The 15452-nt window shown below is 42.1% G+C and overlaps 1 protein-coding gene and 1 long non-coding RNA gene across 3 annotated transcripts in view, besides 2 other annotated features; one reads left to right on the top strand and one right to left on the bottom strand.

Moving 5' to 3' along the window:
- RBPJ (recombination signal binding protein for immunoglobulin kappa J region) overlaps positions 1-15452 on the bottom strand; it is a 329683-nt gene that overhangs the window by 192571 nt on the left and 121660 nt on the right. The gene's annotated exons all lie outside the window — the stretch shown is intronic.
- Positions 1-15452, top strand: part of LOC124900690 (uncharacterized) — a 77297-nt gene that overhangs the window by 32865 nt on the left and 28980 nt on the right. The window lies entirely within an intron of this gene.
- Positions 3114-3662: an enhancer, noted in NCBI's record as "NANOG-H3K27ac-H3K4me1 hESC enhancer chr4:26240521-26241069 (GRCh37/hg19 assembly coordinates)". NCBI's record gives its function as "activates a minimal SCP1, AML or CMV promoter by ChIP-STARR-seq in primed H9 embryonic stem cells {active_cell/tissue: H9 hESC(primed)}" and the evidence as "EXISTENCE:reporter gene assay evidence [ECO:0000049][PMID:30033119]".
- Positions 3663-4213: an enhancer, noted in NCBI's record as "NANOG-H3K27ac-H3K4me1 hESC enhancer chr4:26239970-26240520 (GRCh37/hg19 assembly coordinates)". NCBI's record gives its function as "activates a minimal SCP1, AML or CMV promoter by ChIP-STARR-seq in primed H9 embryonic stem cells {active_cell/tissue: H9 hESC(primed)}" and the evidence as "EXISTENCE:reporter gene assay evidence [ECO:0000049][PMID:30033119]".

Here is a 15452-nt window from a genome sequence, read left to right as displayed (position 1 = left end):
TTGGTATGGAGATAGTTATAACCTTCTTACCTCAAAGGGTCTTAGTGGTTCCTGAGGATCTGTGGACCACACTCTCTTTTCTTTTTTTCTTTTCTTTTCTTTTTTTTTTTTTTTGAGACAGAGTCTCGCTCTGTTGTCCAGGCTGGAGTACAGCGGCGCAATCTCCTGTCACTGCAAGTTCCACCTCTCGGGTTCACGCCATTCTCCGCCTCAGCCTCCCGAGTAGCTGGGACTACAGGCGCCCGCCACCATGCCCGGCTAATTTGTTTGTATTTTTAGTAGAGATGGGGTTTCACCATGTTAGCCAGGATGGTCTCGATCTCCTGACCTCGTGATCCGCCCGCCTCGGGCTCCCATAGTGCTGGGATTACAGGGGTGAGCCACCGCTCCCGGCTGGACCACACTCTCAGAACCTCTGCACTGAACTCTAAGGCCATGAGGGCAGCGTGTAGGGACCTTAATGATTTGGTTCACTGCTGTGTCCTAAAGACATGAGAAAAAGGCTGGACAAGAAAGGAGGATCTCAATGGGTATTTGTTGAATGAATATATGAACAAATCCCACAGAGGATCCAACTTTGTGCTCTCTTTGGTTAGACTGTGCGGTATTGAGCACTTCAAGAGCTACTGGTAGCATTAATCAGTGAAACATATGAAGTACTGCTTCAAATTCTCATTGGAAGTACAATTTTTTTAAAAATTCCCCCTTAAGAGGAGTTTAATGATCATACTATTAAGAGAGAAGGTTAGGGCCAGGCTTAGCGGCTCACACCTGTAATCCCAGCACTTTGGGAGGTCTGGGCGGGCAGATCACTTCAGGCCAGGAGTTTGAGACCAGCCTGGCCAACATAGCGAAACCCTGCCTCTACTAAAATAGAAAAAAATAAATGGGTGTGGTGGGGCATGCCTGTAGTCTCAGCTACTTGGGAGGCTGAGGCAGGAGAATGGCATGAACCCGGGAGGCAGAGGTTGCAGTGAGCAGGGATCGCGCCACTGTACTCCAGCCTGGGTGACAGAGGGAGACTCTGTCTCAAAAAACAAACAAACGAAAAACAAAAAAGAAAAAAAAGTGAAAAGAAGACAGGTCAGAAGTTCTGGCTCTGAATGGTCTTTCCTTATGTATAAATCACGTTAAACTGTTCCTCAACCTCTGAGTTTGCCTGGAATTTTCTTCATGCTTGATTCCAAGTCAGTTCATCAAAATAATTTTTCTTCTGCTTAAGTCTCCAATGTCAGCTCTTTTTTTCACACAAAGATTTCACCAGCACTAACTTGGCTAACAGATTCTAGAGTAAAACAGGGCTGCTTAACTTTTATCTGTGTGGTGGAAAGTGCTCAATTTTTTTTTTTTTTTTTTTATTTTTGGAGACAGGGTCTTGCTCTGTCGCCCAGGCTAGAGTGCAATGGTGCGACCTTGGCTCACTGCAACCTCGGATTCCCAGGCTCAAGTGATCCTCCCACCTCAGCCTCCCTGGTAGCTGGGACCACAGGTGCACACCACCATGCCTGGCTAATTTTTTGTAGAAACGGGGGTTTTGGCTTGTTGCTCAGGCTTCAACTTCACAACTCCTCATTTATATACGTGTGATATGTTGTTGCCAATTATAAAGTATGGATTAGTAAAGCCTTGATTTGCTTTCTGCACCCCACTTTGTCCTGGAGATGAGGGCCCATAATAAGGAATGACCCCAGGAATCCTTTCTCAACTTGGAGACCTTTCTCCCTCTTTCTCATCAACTATTGGGGGTCACAGGATATTGCACAAAACGAAGGCAGTTTGAGAGTCCAAAACCTTTTCACATCTTCTGTGTGAAAATTTCAAGAAGAAAATCAGCAGGATAAACATGAAAGGTCTATCTAACATTAAACCTGGAATGCAGTATGGGTTCAACAGATGAATCTGGAATCCAAATGATCATTTTGGTTTTCACCTTCTGAAGACATCAAGGACCCCCTTCCATAGACAAGAGCCCACTAAAACATGCTCTTCCTCATGTTCTTCTTAAATACGTCCTTCCCTACTTCAGCACGGGTATAGCTTGGTTGCTTTTCTCTCCCTCTAATCCTACATCTGGCACTTTGTGGGTGTTTAATAATTATATGTTCAGACGAATTTCTTCTAAATGTCTGTCCCAGATTAATTCATACTGTGTGAATGTTATTGATCTGGAGAGGAGGGTATAGTTTAGAGAATAAAGTATTTGAAAGGAGGAATGAATGACCCAGACGGGGTATCCCAGGGAATGGCAAAAAGTAAAAGTCAAGGTAAGAAAGAAGAGTAACTAACAGAAGTAGAGTTGTTAAATGAAAAACAGGACATCCAGTTAAATTTGCATTTCAGATAAACGGCAAATGATTTTTTAGTAGGCCTCATGCGATGTTGGGGTATAGTTACACTAAAAATATTATTTGTGATTTATCTGAAATTCAGTGTTAATTGGGCATTCTGTATTATTTGTGAAATCTGGCAACTCTAAACAGGGAATGACAGGGAAGTTTTGCTCACACGGAACTTTGCTCTGCCAAGGCTCAGAGGACGGGGTGCTGGGAGTCCTAAGTATTTCGTCACTTAAATTTCTGCTAACAGGATCTTATTTTCTTTATAAAACATCCTTTACAAGAAAAATTTTGCAAAGTGGAAAACTACATTTTACAATTCATTAAAAAATATATTTTGGCTTTGAGTGGAACTGTGATGAAAATAGAGAATGAAACAGCATAACGGAATTCACTGTCATCACTGAAACAAGGGGACTTTGCCATTTCCCCATAAACAAAGTTTAACTCTACCCAGGTCTCTCCTCTCCTCTCCTCTCCCCTCCCCTCCCCTCCCCTCTTCTCTTCTCCTTTTTTTCTTCTCTTCTCTGTTACTTTCCTTCCCTTCCCTCCAGTGCACTATAAAGGATGCATTAACTACACCATGACTGCTCTGAAAATGTATCCTGGGATCCTTGGTTGACATTTGCTTTTAGTACAGGCAGAGGTCACTTGGAGCAAAGTTTACAAGCCTTTTCTTGATTACATTGTGCTTAAAGTGTTAACCCTGTTAGCAGTCACAGCACAGATTTCCTCAATGAGACTCTTGTGCGCCTGACAATGTAACTATTTATTTGCAGAGTCACTACCATTGACATTTGTGCTGCTCAATGCAAAGTGTTACCAGTGCTTTCTTTATGTCACTGTTTCTCTTCAGTAACCAAGAAAAGCAAAACAAAGTACAAATAACTGCTTATTCAGAAAGAAATCTCAGATTGTTCCTTAAACCTGCTCCAGGCAGCGGATACAGACTTTTGAGTGATCTGGAAAATATGAAAAGCACTTGGCTGGGATACAAAACCCGAACTGATCTGTGGTGATGGCAAAAGCAGAAATAGGAGCTCAGTAATAAAAATAAATTTCTATATGGCTGATCATGGTCCGGCTGGCTTGAGGAGGGAGGAGCAGGTCTTGGAAGTTAGGCTATTATCTGAGCAGTCGTTGCTTTGGTGGTGTGTGTGGGGGTTGGGGAATAGGGCTTTGCTTCATAGGCCATCCCTCAATTGTTGTCTGATTGATTGAAAAAGGCAAATGGTGCCGCCCTGTTCCTGCCAAGTGTTTTCTTCTGCGTCTGCTCTCCCTGGGTGCCTGGAGCGTTGATCTCTGTGGCTCTCTCACCTGCTGCTTTGTTCCAACAAAGCTGGCGTCTTACAGCCGCCGCCACTCACTCTTCCAAGCCGTTGTCCTGGCTGTCCTGACTGTGTAAACCCTGCCATCCCCATCTGCCCAGCCACCTGCCTCCTTGTCTCTAGATATCCTCCCGCGACCCCACCACTTCTGGGAAGCTCTCCGGAATTATGACCACCCACTTGTCTCCAACTGCTGGCCCAACCCTCTCCCCAAAGCTGCTCTCAAAACGACTGCATCTCATTTCTGTTGATTGTTTCTATGTCACAGCAGAGGGGAAGGTGCACACACACTGAGTCAGGCTGGGATTCATTTATTGACTTTGTCACTTACCAGCTCTGTGACCTTTGGCCACAACAGTAATGATGATACCCTACAACTATAAAACTCTTGTAGTGTGCCAAGCATGTTTACTACACTTTCCATACTTCCTTCTATTTTATCCCTGCATAGAAGCTATGAGATACATTAATACAATGATTCTCCTTGTTTTACAGACAAGAAAGCTGAGGCTCAAAGAAGTTAAGAACTTGGTTGAGCCAAGCATGGTGGCTCATGCCTGTAATCCCAGCACTTTGGGAGGCTGAGGCAGGCAGATCACTTGAGCCCAGAAGTTCAAGACCAGCCTGGGCAACATGACAAAACTCTGTCTCTACAAAAAATAAAAACATTAGCCAGGCACGGTGGTGCGCGCCTGTGGTCCCAGCTACTCAGGAAGCTGAGATGGGAGGATTACTTGAGGCTGGGAGGTCGATGCTGTAGTGATCTGTGATTGTGTCACTGTATTCCAGCCTGGGCAACAGGGTGAGACCCTGTCTCAAAACAAACAAATGAAACAAACACACACAAAATTTTTGGTCAGGATCAAATAGCTCTTTAATGGCCGGACATGATGGCTCATAACTGTAATTTAATTCCAGTACTTTGGGTGGCTGAGATGGGAGGATCACTTGAGGCCAGGAGTGCAAAATCAGCTTGGTCAACATAGTGAGACCTCATCTCAAAACAAAACAAAAAACAAAACAAACTCAAATAGCTCCTTCATGATAGAGCTAGGATTGGAACTCAAAGTGTCAAGCTGCAAGTCCAAACTCTTATTGGGATCCAAACACCAGGCTAGGTATCTTTATTATTTAATTCTCTCAACAGCCCAATTAAGTGTGTATTGTCCAAATTGTACTGATAGGGAGACCGAGGGTCAAAAAATTGAAGTGATTTTCTCGTGATCATGGCTCTAGTAAGTAGGCAATGCTGGATTCAACCCCCTAAAACCCTGTTTCTTCACTTATCACAAGCATCTTCCAGATAGAAGGCTTATACCTGTAGTGGAAGGAAAAATAGTGTGTTTGCACTGACAAGTTTGCAAGATGATGGAAATGTTGAGTCAAATCCAACTAAACAAACATTTTCCTTCTAATTTTTCTTATTATTTAATCCTAGGACTTCCTAGAGTCTTTAACACCGTGCAAAATATGCACTGTGAGGCTTCGAGAAAGGATTTAATAGGCAGCCTTTTCAAATTTATTCGACCATAATGATTTTTTTTTTTGAGACCCATCTATTAATATTTTTTTTGCAGTAGTGTTTCCCAGGACACAAATTTGAAAAACATTGCACTATATACTTAAGTGACAGCACACACAGATAAGAATACAGATAGAGAAATTGTTGTTGCTGTTGCTATTCAGGAGACCAGGATGGTCTTGATCTCCTGACTTCGTGATCAGGTAGTGATAAGGTTCTCCAGGTGCTTCCCAGAGCTATCGAGTCTGCCAGGGCCAACCAGCTGCTGTTGGTACTCAGGAGCCCGGCACCCAGATGTCATTTGCTTCATGGGTTCATTGAACTGGTGTTTGTTGTTGCTGCTGTTTTGCCTGAGCTCTACGGCTTTCTGGCTTCTTCCTACTGGGTTCTAATGTGGGCTCAAGCATTTCACAAGGGAGTCTGTTGTTAAAATCCAATAAAATCAAACTCAGAGTAGACATCAGAATCAGCACCAGCCTTAGTATAGGCAGGCATTGAGCACTTTAGGGCCATTGTAATAATAGCTACCGGTTAGTCAGTGTTTACAATGTACGGGGCTTAACATGGGTTGTTTCATTTAATCTTCCTGATAATAGAGATACTGTTGCAGAAATCTCCAAAAGGGCCCTTGTGTGGTCCCATCCACATTGAGTTAGGGACTGTCTTGTGTGACTAATACACTATCACATAGGTGATGCTGTGAGATTTCCAAGGTTAGGAATAAAGTCATTGAGCTTCCATCTTGGTCTCTTGAATTGCTTGCTCTGGATGAAGCCAGCTGCCATTTTGCCAAGACACTCAAGCAGTACTGTGGAGAGCCCATGTGGAAAGGAACTAATTTGTCAGCCAATGTGAGTGCCCCACCTTGGAAGTGGTTCCACCAGCCCCAGTCAGGCTTTCAGATGAATGCAGACCCCAGCTAACATCTGACTGCAACTTCATGAGAGACCCTGAATGAAAACTACCCAACCTGAGGCACTCCTGAATTCCTGAACTATAGGGATGACTATTGTTTTAAGCCACTAATTTGTGGAGCGACTTGTTACAAGCAGGAAATAATGACTACAGATACTATTAGTATTCCCCATTTTTCAGATGAGGACATCGAAGCTATAAGAGAGGTTAAATTGCTTATTGAAGGTCACAGGGCCTACTCACTCAAGGTCACAGCCAGAGTTTACGTGGCTGATACAGGATGCCACAAAGGACCTCTTTCCTCAATCCCCAAAATATTGCCCCAGAAGTCTGCAATAGTATCCACAATTCTATTTCTGGGCTCATTTATTCAGTGTGCTGATGTGATAATACAGAAAGTTTTGGAACCTGTCCATATTTTACCTCTCATGAACTTCAGCTCCTTAGAGAGTAAATATCATCTACCTGGTTGTGGATAAAATGATTGAATATATTGAAAGTTCAGGCAGATTCTAGGCACTGGATATTTGGAAGTTCCCTTCCCTTCCAATTCCTTCTTTAGCATTGGGCTTCACTTTGGTGGTGAGGAAAACAGAAGGTTAGCTTAGCCAACAATCTGTCATTCTCACCCTAAAGGGAATTAGCTCATCAGGATCCAGTCCTAACTGGCAGGAGACTGAAGAGGCAGGCTTTTTGCTTGGAGAGCAAAGGACAGGAAAACATAATTTCTGAGTATGGTTTACACTGGGAGCAGGCAAGCCTGGCTGGGTGCCCCAGAGAGCTCTGGAACAGCTAGAGGGCATCATGAGAGCCTGGAGAAGGCAGAAATGGGGCCCAGTAACTGCAATTGGGAGGGAACTTTCTTTCACTGATTTGCCTAAGGCCAGTCATTCCTAAATTGCATCACCAAAGATGATCATGGTATAAAGCATGGTCAAGAATAGCTGCTTTGGCCAGGAGAAGCTAAGAAAAAAAAGTTGTAATTCTGTTAGAAGTGTTTTTGTTTTTGTTTTTAAATGTTAATCCATGTAAAGACATAAGTTCTTGGCCCAGGTATAAATACCTTCAGAGATCCACAAAAAAACAAAGTTACACATCTTATTTAGGTCACATAGCTAAATAGAGGCAGAGTTTGGTCTAGAACTCAAAACCTACGTTGTAATCATTATGTTTGATCAAATCAATTTGTTTTGGCTTGAAAAGCACACACATCCCTTCTTCCAATAAACTTTTTCTCATTAACATTGCCAAAGGTTACTTATTTTGAATTTTTTCAGCACTAATAAGTAGTCTGACATACATATTAGATACTTGATTAAGCAAGGTTTTTTTTTGAACACTTACTATGTGCCAGGTACTCTATCACCTGCTAAGGATTTAGTAATGAGCAAAATGCACAATTCCCCTGTTGTTATGAAGGCTTTATTCAGCAGTGGATAGGGTGGAGTTATAAGATAGTTGAGAAACAGGCCGGGCACAGTGGCTCACACCTGTAATCCCAGCATTTTGGGAGGCCGAGGTGGGCGATCACTTGAGGTCAGGAGTTCGAAACCAGCCTGGCCAACATGGTGAAACCCCGTCTCTACTAAAAATACAAAAATTAGCTGGGCGTGGTGGCATGTGCCTGTAATCCCAGCTACTTAGGAGGCTGAGGCAGGAGAATCGCTTGAACCAGGGAGTAGGAGGTTGCAGTGAGCCTAGATCTCACCACTGCACTCCAGCCTGGGTGACAGAGCGAGACTCTATCTCAAATAAATAAATAAATAAATAAATAAGAAAATAAGATAGTTGAAAAACAAAATTATGTAATTAACTACAAGGTGATAAGGAAAAGTAAACAGGAACGGGGGACAGAGACAGGGTTTGTGGAGTAGACTGGTACAATTTATATAGAGAGTGGCCAGGGAAGTTCTCACTGAAAAGGTAACATTTGAGCAAAGACTTGAACAAGGTAAGAAAATGAGCCTGTGGTTATCTGGGGGAAGAGTATGCCACAAATTTTAGTATTACTACGGAATCATTCTCTGGTTCTTTCAGGCTTATATGTTTATTATTCTCCATCCCCTATTAAATTGTCAGGCGTGTGTATTTCATCTTCTGCTTCCTTTGGGTCTAATAGGACTGCTTTCTGCAGAATGCTATTTGTACCACAGACTTAATAAATGCTTGTTGAATATTTTGGTTAAAGTCATTTTCTCACTATTGCCCTTTTTAGGCAAGAAATGAAGGAAAAAGTACAGTAGTAGTTCAGTACTCTGTCCAATATTCTAAATGACTTAGAATGTACAAACCAACATCTAGCTGTACTATCCAACATTCTGGGTTAACATTCTTTGCCTTCCATAAACATTACATCTAAAAATATTTGCAAAAGTCGTGGCTTCTCCTAAATTCAAAACAGGAAGCCCCTATAGTTTCTAAGCTATGTTTATTCACCTCCAAACCCCAAACTAGAATCCACCATTACTTCTTTGCAATTATGAATTTTTTTTTGTACAATGAGCTCTGACATTTTTTGAAAATGGTTTCCTGCCTAAGCTAGAGACATCCTGTTATTCTTAATGATATTCTATGCCACCTACTATTAAGGTGTCTTGAATTCATAAGAACAGAACCATTCATGGCTAATCACTTGTTCCTCTTTGATTTTTGCAAAAAGAGACACTTCACAGATCTGCTTTCCAATTTCCTTTTGAAAAGGATTCTCAGTTTTTATATCAATGAGATCTTGATCTTGTTTGATATCAGTGCTTTGCATAACGGCATATAGCCTGTGCCTGTTTTATTTGCTCTGATTTTATTTTGAAGAGACAGACTGAAAATGAAAAGGAGTTATAACAATGGTGAAGGTACTAAGGATCCCAATAATAACGACACTGGGAGAAATCAAACAGAAAACTAAAATGAGAAGGTAGTGTCAGCAGCTGAGTAATAAACTAACATGACGCATACGAAGTGGAGACAAGGCAACATCTTAACGAAACTGAAGAGACTGGGGAATCAGGGTATATGATTTTCTGAAGGATAATTGAATTCAGCCCTAAGTGAAGAAGGAAACTTTTTGCAAGGAAACCTGTTACCAAATCAGATGGTAGGTAATAAGACACAGAAAATGTGAAACAGAAGAGCTTGTATGTGGACACCTGTGGGTTGTATAAATGCCTCTAACAATGGATATTAGAATAATGTGGAGATAATCATTTATAGTTTTCCCCCCCAGTATTTTAATTTATAGCTCCATACATTCTCTTATCAAATGTATTCATGAATGATTTATTTATCCTCTGGGGAAATAAAAGTGCAATCAAGTACCAACTATCCCAAATCTTAATCATTTCAGGATGTCAGCTATAGAAAAAAGAGGTTGTGTTTACTGTTTCTGCAGTGCATACAACACTACTTGTACATCTGGAGAAGGAAAAGCAGCTGCTCTCTCTGCATGTGAGACTTTGGTCCAATTATTTATCTTTTTGAACTTTACTTCTTTTAACTGCAACATAGAAATAATATTACAAAACTTAGATGGTGTTTAGGAACATAAATTACAATAGTCAAATTATAGCAGGTTCCCCGCACTCTCTTTACATATAGGGATTTATTTAATTGTAATAAGTCTTATGACACAGGTTTCATGATTTACAAATGAGGGAATGAAGCACAGAGAGATCCAAGCCATTTGCTCCCAGCCACACAACTGTGGAACTGGCTGCAGGGACCACATACTTGAACTCCACTCTGAAATCTTTCTCTAATAATGGAGATAAAGCACATAGTAAGTGCTCAGTAAATGATTATTATTATCGTTGTTGTTGTTATAGAGAAGAGATGTGTTTGTTCTTACACTTAAGAACATTCTGTTACAGATTGCTCCACTAAGACTCCCAAGTGCATTTAGATGGGAGAGAAATTGGAACTAATAAAACAGAAATTTTAAACTTAATTGGCTGGGTGTAGCGGCTCATGTCTGTAACCCTAGGAGGACTTTGGGATGCCGAGGTGGATTGCTTGAGGCCAGGAATTTGAGACCAGCCTGTCTCTACAAAAAGTAATTAAGGGCTGGGAGGAGGGAGAGTATCAGGAAGAATAGTTAATGAATGCTGGGCTTAATACCCAGGTGATGGGATGATCTGTACAGCAAATCACCATGGCACGTGTTTACCTATGTAACAAACCTGCACATGCTGCACATGTGCCCCTGAACTTAAATATATAAGTTGGAAAATAAAAAGATATTAAAATGTCTTCATTTACAAATAAAGCAACTGATTGGGCATGGTGGTTCATGCCTGTAATCCCAGCACTTTGGGAGGCTGAGGAGGTTGGATCATTTGAGATCAGAAGTTTGAGACCAGCCTAACCAACATGGTGAAACCCCGTCTCTACTAAAAATACAAAAAAAAATTGGCCGAGCATGGTGATGCATGCCTGTAGTCCCAGATACTTGGGAGGCTGAGGCAGAAGAATTGCTTGAACTCGGGAGGTGGAGGTTGCAATGAGCCAAGATCGCACCACTGCACTCCAGCCTGGGCGACAGAGTGAGACTCTGTCTAAAAAAATAAATAAATAAATAAAAATAAATAAAAATTAAAATTAAAAAAAAATAAAGCATAAGGTCAGGCGCAGTGGCTCACGCTTATAATCCCAGCATTTTGGGAGGCTGAGGCGAGTGGATCACCTGAGGTCACGAGTTCGAGACCATCCTGGCTAACACGGTGAAACCCCATCTCTACTAAAAATACAAAAAAATAGGCTGGGCGCCGTGGCTCATGCCTGTAATCCCAACACTTTGGGAGGCCGAAACGGGCAGATCACTTGAGGTCAGGCATTCGAGACTAGCCTGGCCAACATGGTGAAACCCCATCTCTACTAAAAATACAAAAAGTAGCTGGGCATGGTGGCGGGTGCCTATAATCCCAGCTACTCTGGAGGCTGAGGCAGGAGAATCGCTTGAACCTGGGAGGCAGAGGTTGCAGTGAGCCGAGATCTTGCCACTGCACTCCAGCCTGGGCAACGAGAGTGAAACTCTGTCTAAAAAAAAAAAAAAAGTGCAATTAAAAAAAGTAAAAAGTTAAAAAAAAAGTATTAGGTACATCTCCTTTTGGATCATATGTTCTAGATTTACAAGTGGGTTGAACTGATTAGTCATCTCAGTCAAAAAACTGCTCCCTTAAATGCAGATAGCAGTTCAAGCTAATCGCCCAGCTAAATCAATTGTTTAATTCCATTTAAAGTAATCAACCTGTCAGCTCCTTGAGGCTCTAGCCTTTCTCCTATGGTTTTATGGCTCTTTTGAGTGTAAGACACAGTTAAAATGTTGAAATTGCTCCTTCGGTGAATAAACAGACTTGGTAAATAGGTCAGATCGCAGAAATGGCTGTTTCTTCTACCTCCACATTTTTATGTTCAGAATCCATCACTTTTGCTGATGTTTATAGAGCCTGCTTATGCGTTTCCTTGTTTGATGTTGTCAGAGAGCCTGGGGGAGGGGTTTATTCTTGCCATTATCTCTGGGTGACGTGCTAAAAATGACAGTCAATTGGAGTACTTTACTCAAAATGTCAAAATATATCAGTGGATATACTTCATCACACTTCATGACAAGGGATCAGAATCCTAAAGCTATGCTTGTCATTTATATTTTGCTATAAATATATTTTGTGGGCTATTTTGATGCTAGGTCGAAAGTGTGGAAAGCTAATGGTTATTTGAAAAAAAATAGAAGAGAACTGAACTGAACTGATTTGTAAGGAAATAAAAATATGCCATTGGTCGCATCAGAAATAAAGATCACTTAATGAAACAAAGAAATCTATATAACACAAGCAACTATGTGTGGGCAGTAGAGGCTGGTGGTTAGAATGGGACTCATTGGAGTTAGTCTTTCAAGGTCCAACCCTGGCTCTGCCACTTATTCACTACGTGTCCATAAACATGTTACTGACCTCCTCATGCCTGTGTCCTCATCTATAAAATGGGGGTTAAAATAGGACCTAACTGCAAGGGTTTTGGTGAAGATGAAAGCAGTTAATATATGTAAAGCACTTGGAACAATGCCTAGCATATTACAGTATCTACTGCATAAGAGTTAGATGTTATCGTTATTATTAGCACTGGTTTGTTTTTATGAGTGTGTAAGTTAAAACCGAAGTTTGCCTGAATTATGGTATCTAGTCATGTAGGAAGGTCAGTCAACCTGGGTGTTTTCAATTTTTGGCTATTATACATAGTGCTGCTATGAACATGTGTCATAATGACTTTTTTTTTTTTTTTAAGATAGGGTCTCACTATATTGCCCAGGCTGGAGTGCAGTGATGCAATCTGGGCTCACCACAGCCTTGACCTCCTGGGCTCCCTTGATCCTCCCACCTCAACCTCCCAAGTAGCTGAGATTATAGGTGCACGCCACCATGCTCAACTATTTTTTGTATTTTTTTGCAGAGGTGGAGTTTCGCCATGTTGCCCAGGCTGGTCTCCAACCCCTGGGCTCAAGCCGTTTTCCCGCCTTGGCCTCCCAAAGTGCTAGGATTACAGGTGTGAGCCACTGCACTTGGCCGATGACTGAATTTTTAATCAATTTTATAGGAGGTGTTGTAGCACAGCTGTCAAACATGTGGCCTCTATAGTCAGACCATCTGAGTTCTAAACCTGGCTCAGTACCTTCCATTTATTATCCTATTTTATCTTGTTGATATTTTTTCATCCTACTATTATCGTCTTATAATAATACCCATAAACATTGGAACTATTATTAATCCACTCTTTATACATGAGAGAAATTGAAGCTTAGATGACACACAGCCAGTAAGTGGCAGAGATGGGATGTAAACCCAGCTCTGGTCTCACTGAAACCTGTGCACTTCACTATTACTTTATTCTGCCTCTCAGTGAGGGGAACGCTTCTATGCATGGAGTAAGAATGGAAAAATTAAAGGGGCAGGTACTTCTGGATGGGAGGGGTCACTGGGGACGGTATGGCCTTTCATGAAATAGCCAAGTCCAGAGCAGCACAGACCAGAGGGTGCTGTGGGGCCACCAACAGGAGGAAGAAAATGCTAAAATGGAGACCAGCTATGGAAATCTTTGCCCATTTCTGAGTTGTGCCAGGGTTCAGCCCCATAGATCATACACACTGATACACTCCAGAGGAATCCTTCCTGTTTCCCTCAGCTATCTTTATTTCTTCACTGCTTCTCAACTCAACTGAGAAGGTGATTGGCCCTTCACAAACATCTGTAGAACTTTCCACCACATTTAGGAAAATCTACCCAAAAGGAAAAAGAAGAGAGGAATGTGTTTATTAAATCTCCTTTAGGCTTCCTGCCTGATTCTCTATCCTGTTGCCTAACTTGGGGTTTTAATTTCTCCTGAGGGAGGCCATGGGTATATAATGATTTGCTTGGCTATAGTCATGGGTACTTTTTAGAAAAACAAAGCCAAGAAGAGCTCTAAGGCTCCTGTGACTTGCACCATCAGCCAATAGTTGTTTTATTAAGTGCTGATTCCCCCTGTGGAGCTGAGTAAATGGAGGTGGGAAAAAAAGTCAGGCCCGAAACAAGGAGCCATTCAGATGTCGTACTCAAAACATAAAGGTAACAGAGAGTTTCTGTACCAAGCTCTGCAGGTCCAAGTTCTGTATGAATGAAAAGGGAATGGTTCTCCATCCATCCAGTCAAACGATTTATAGAGATCCAGCAAGAGGGAAGAGACCCATTACTCATGGCTTCCACTGCTAGCTAGCTCCAGATTATCCCCTACGGGAGAATTCCTTGCATTATGTCCAATTTCATTTCAGTTTTACCTAGAATTTTGTTGACTAGTAACACGTTGTGTTCTTGGGTGGTGTTTTTCCTATCTTGTTTTTTGGAAGATGTTATAGAAACCTGAAAACGAGATGCAAATCAGGAAATACAGGCTTGAATTAAGAACCTTGAAAAATGTAGAATGAAATCGGAATTGGAAGGGAAACTGAGAGTGGTATAAATCATGGCTATCAGAACAAAACATGGCTACCATATTAATGACAGATACATTGCAGCAATAACATCAAGACCGGATACATGCCTTGTGTGTCTATGTGTGGGTGTGAGTGTGAGTGTGCATATGTATGTAATAGCATGCTTGGGTTTGTATTTTAAAAGGAATAACCCAAACACAAAAAGGACAGTCTGCAAAACAGCAACTAGAGAAAATGGCAAAATGGGGAGCAATGGATAAAGTAGCCAAACCAGGTCTGCTGCTGAAATTACAACCAGATTGCCTCTGAAAAGCAAATAAGCTCGAACAAATAAACCCCTGTGGCAGATTCGCTTTCATGAGAGTACCTGTGAGACAATGTCCAGACCTCCCTTCCAGAAGAAAGGTGAAATGGTTAAGGGATGGGTGGGGCGCAGGGCTGAGGCCATGTGTTCCTAGTGACTTGCCGCAGCAGGGAGGTCCTGAGCTGTCCCTGAGGGGCCCTAGACCAATGGCTTGCGCATCACGGTGACGCTGGCACAGAGGCAGGAACTGCCCGTGAAGCCTGGAGACAGGCAGCAGTTCAGAAAGCACAGAAACCAAGGATGTTAAGGAGCATTCACAGGACACTTGGGAATGAGGAGTGAAAAACTCAACCGGAGAAGGACTAGGCTGGCAGGGAGACATGGAGCAAGCGTGCTGACATCTGACATGTGTCAGCGGCACTCGGACGCTCCGCGACTCAAGCAAAGTCTGCTCTTCACTGGTGAATTTCTACATCAAGAGCAGCAGATTCTGAGAGGGAGTTCTCCAAAGGAGGTGGATATATGGTCATGTACCCTGGGCCTACTGCCTCAGATGTTCTGAAACAGCAGCAACTTCAAATGAAAAAGAATAAATGCATGCATTCAGACTCTGCAAAACTCATCTCCACTCAGGCTGTGGAGGGTCTTAATTTAACCTCACTTAGATCTTCATATAGAGTCCCATCTTGGGCCCTTTTCCCTAGACTAGTGGAGTACTAATAAGGATCATAATAATTGCTAATACTTATTGTCACTTATCATGTGCCAAGCTCTTTACATTGTCTTATTAGCTTCTTACAACTGCGCTTTGAAGTAGCCATTATTATTTTCCATTTATTATACATAGATGTTGGGCAACTAGCCGGGTTGCCACAGCCAGGATGAGGCAGAGCTGGGATCTAAACAGCAGGTTTTACTCACTCCAGAGTCCACTTAACCACCTGCCCAAAGGTCTGAGGTTTTGAACTCTCTGTTAGTTAAGAAATTACCCAAGTCTTGGCAATGGCAAAGGATACCGGAAAGGATTCAAATCAAATTACATGGCTGCCAATCATGCTGGATCCAACCCTCAGACGACTCCAGTGAAGCGTTT

Source organism: Homo sapiens, chromosome 4, assembly GCF_000001405.40.
Source record: "Homo sapiens chromosome 4, GRCh38.p14 Primary Assembly".
Lineage (NCBI taxonomy): Eukaryota > Metazoa > Chordata > Mammalia > Primates > Hominidae > Homo > Homo sapiens.
The sequence above is the reverse complement of the archived record's forward strand: the minus strand, read 5'-3'. Positions and strand labels throughout refer to the sequence as shown.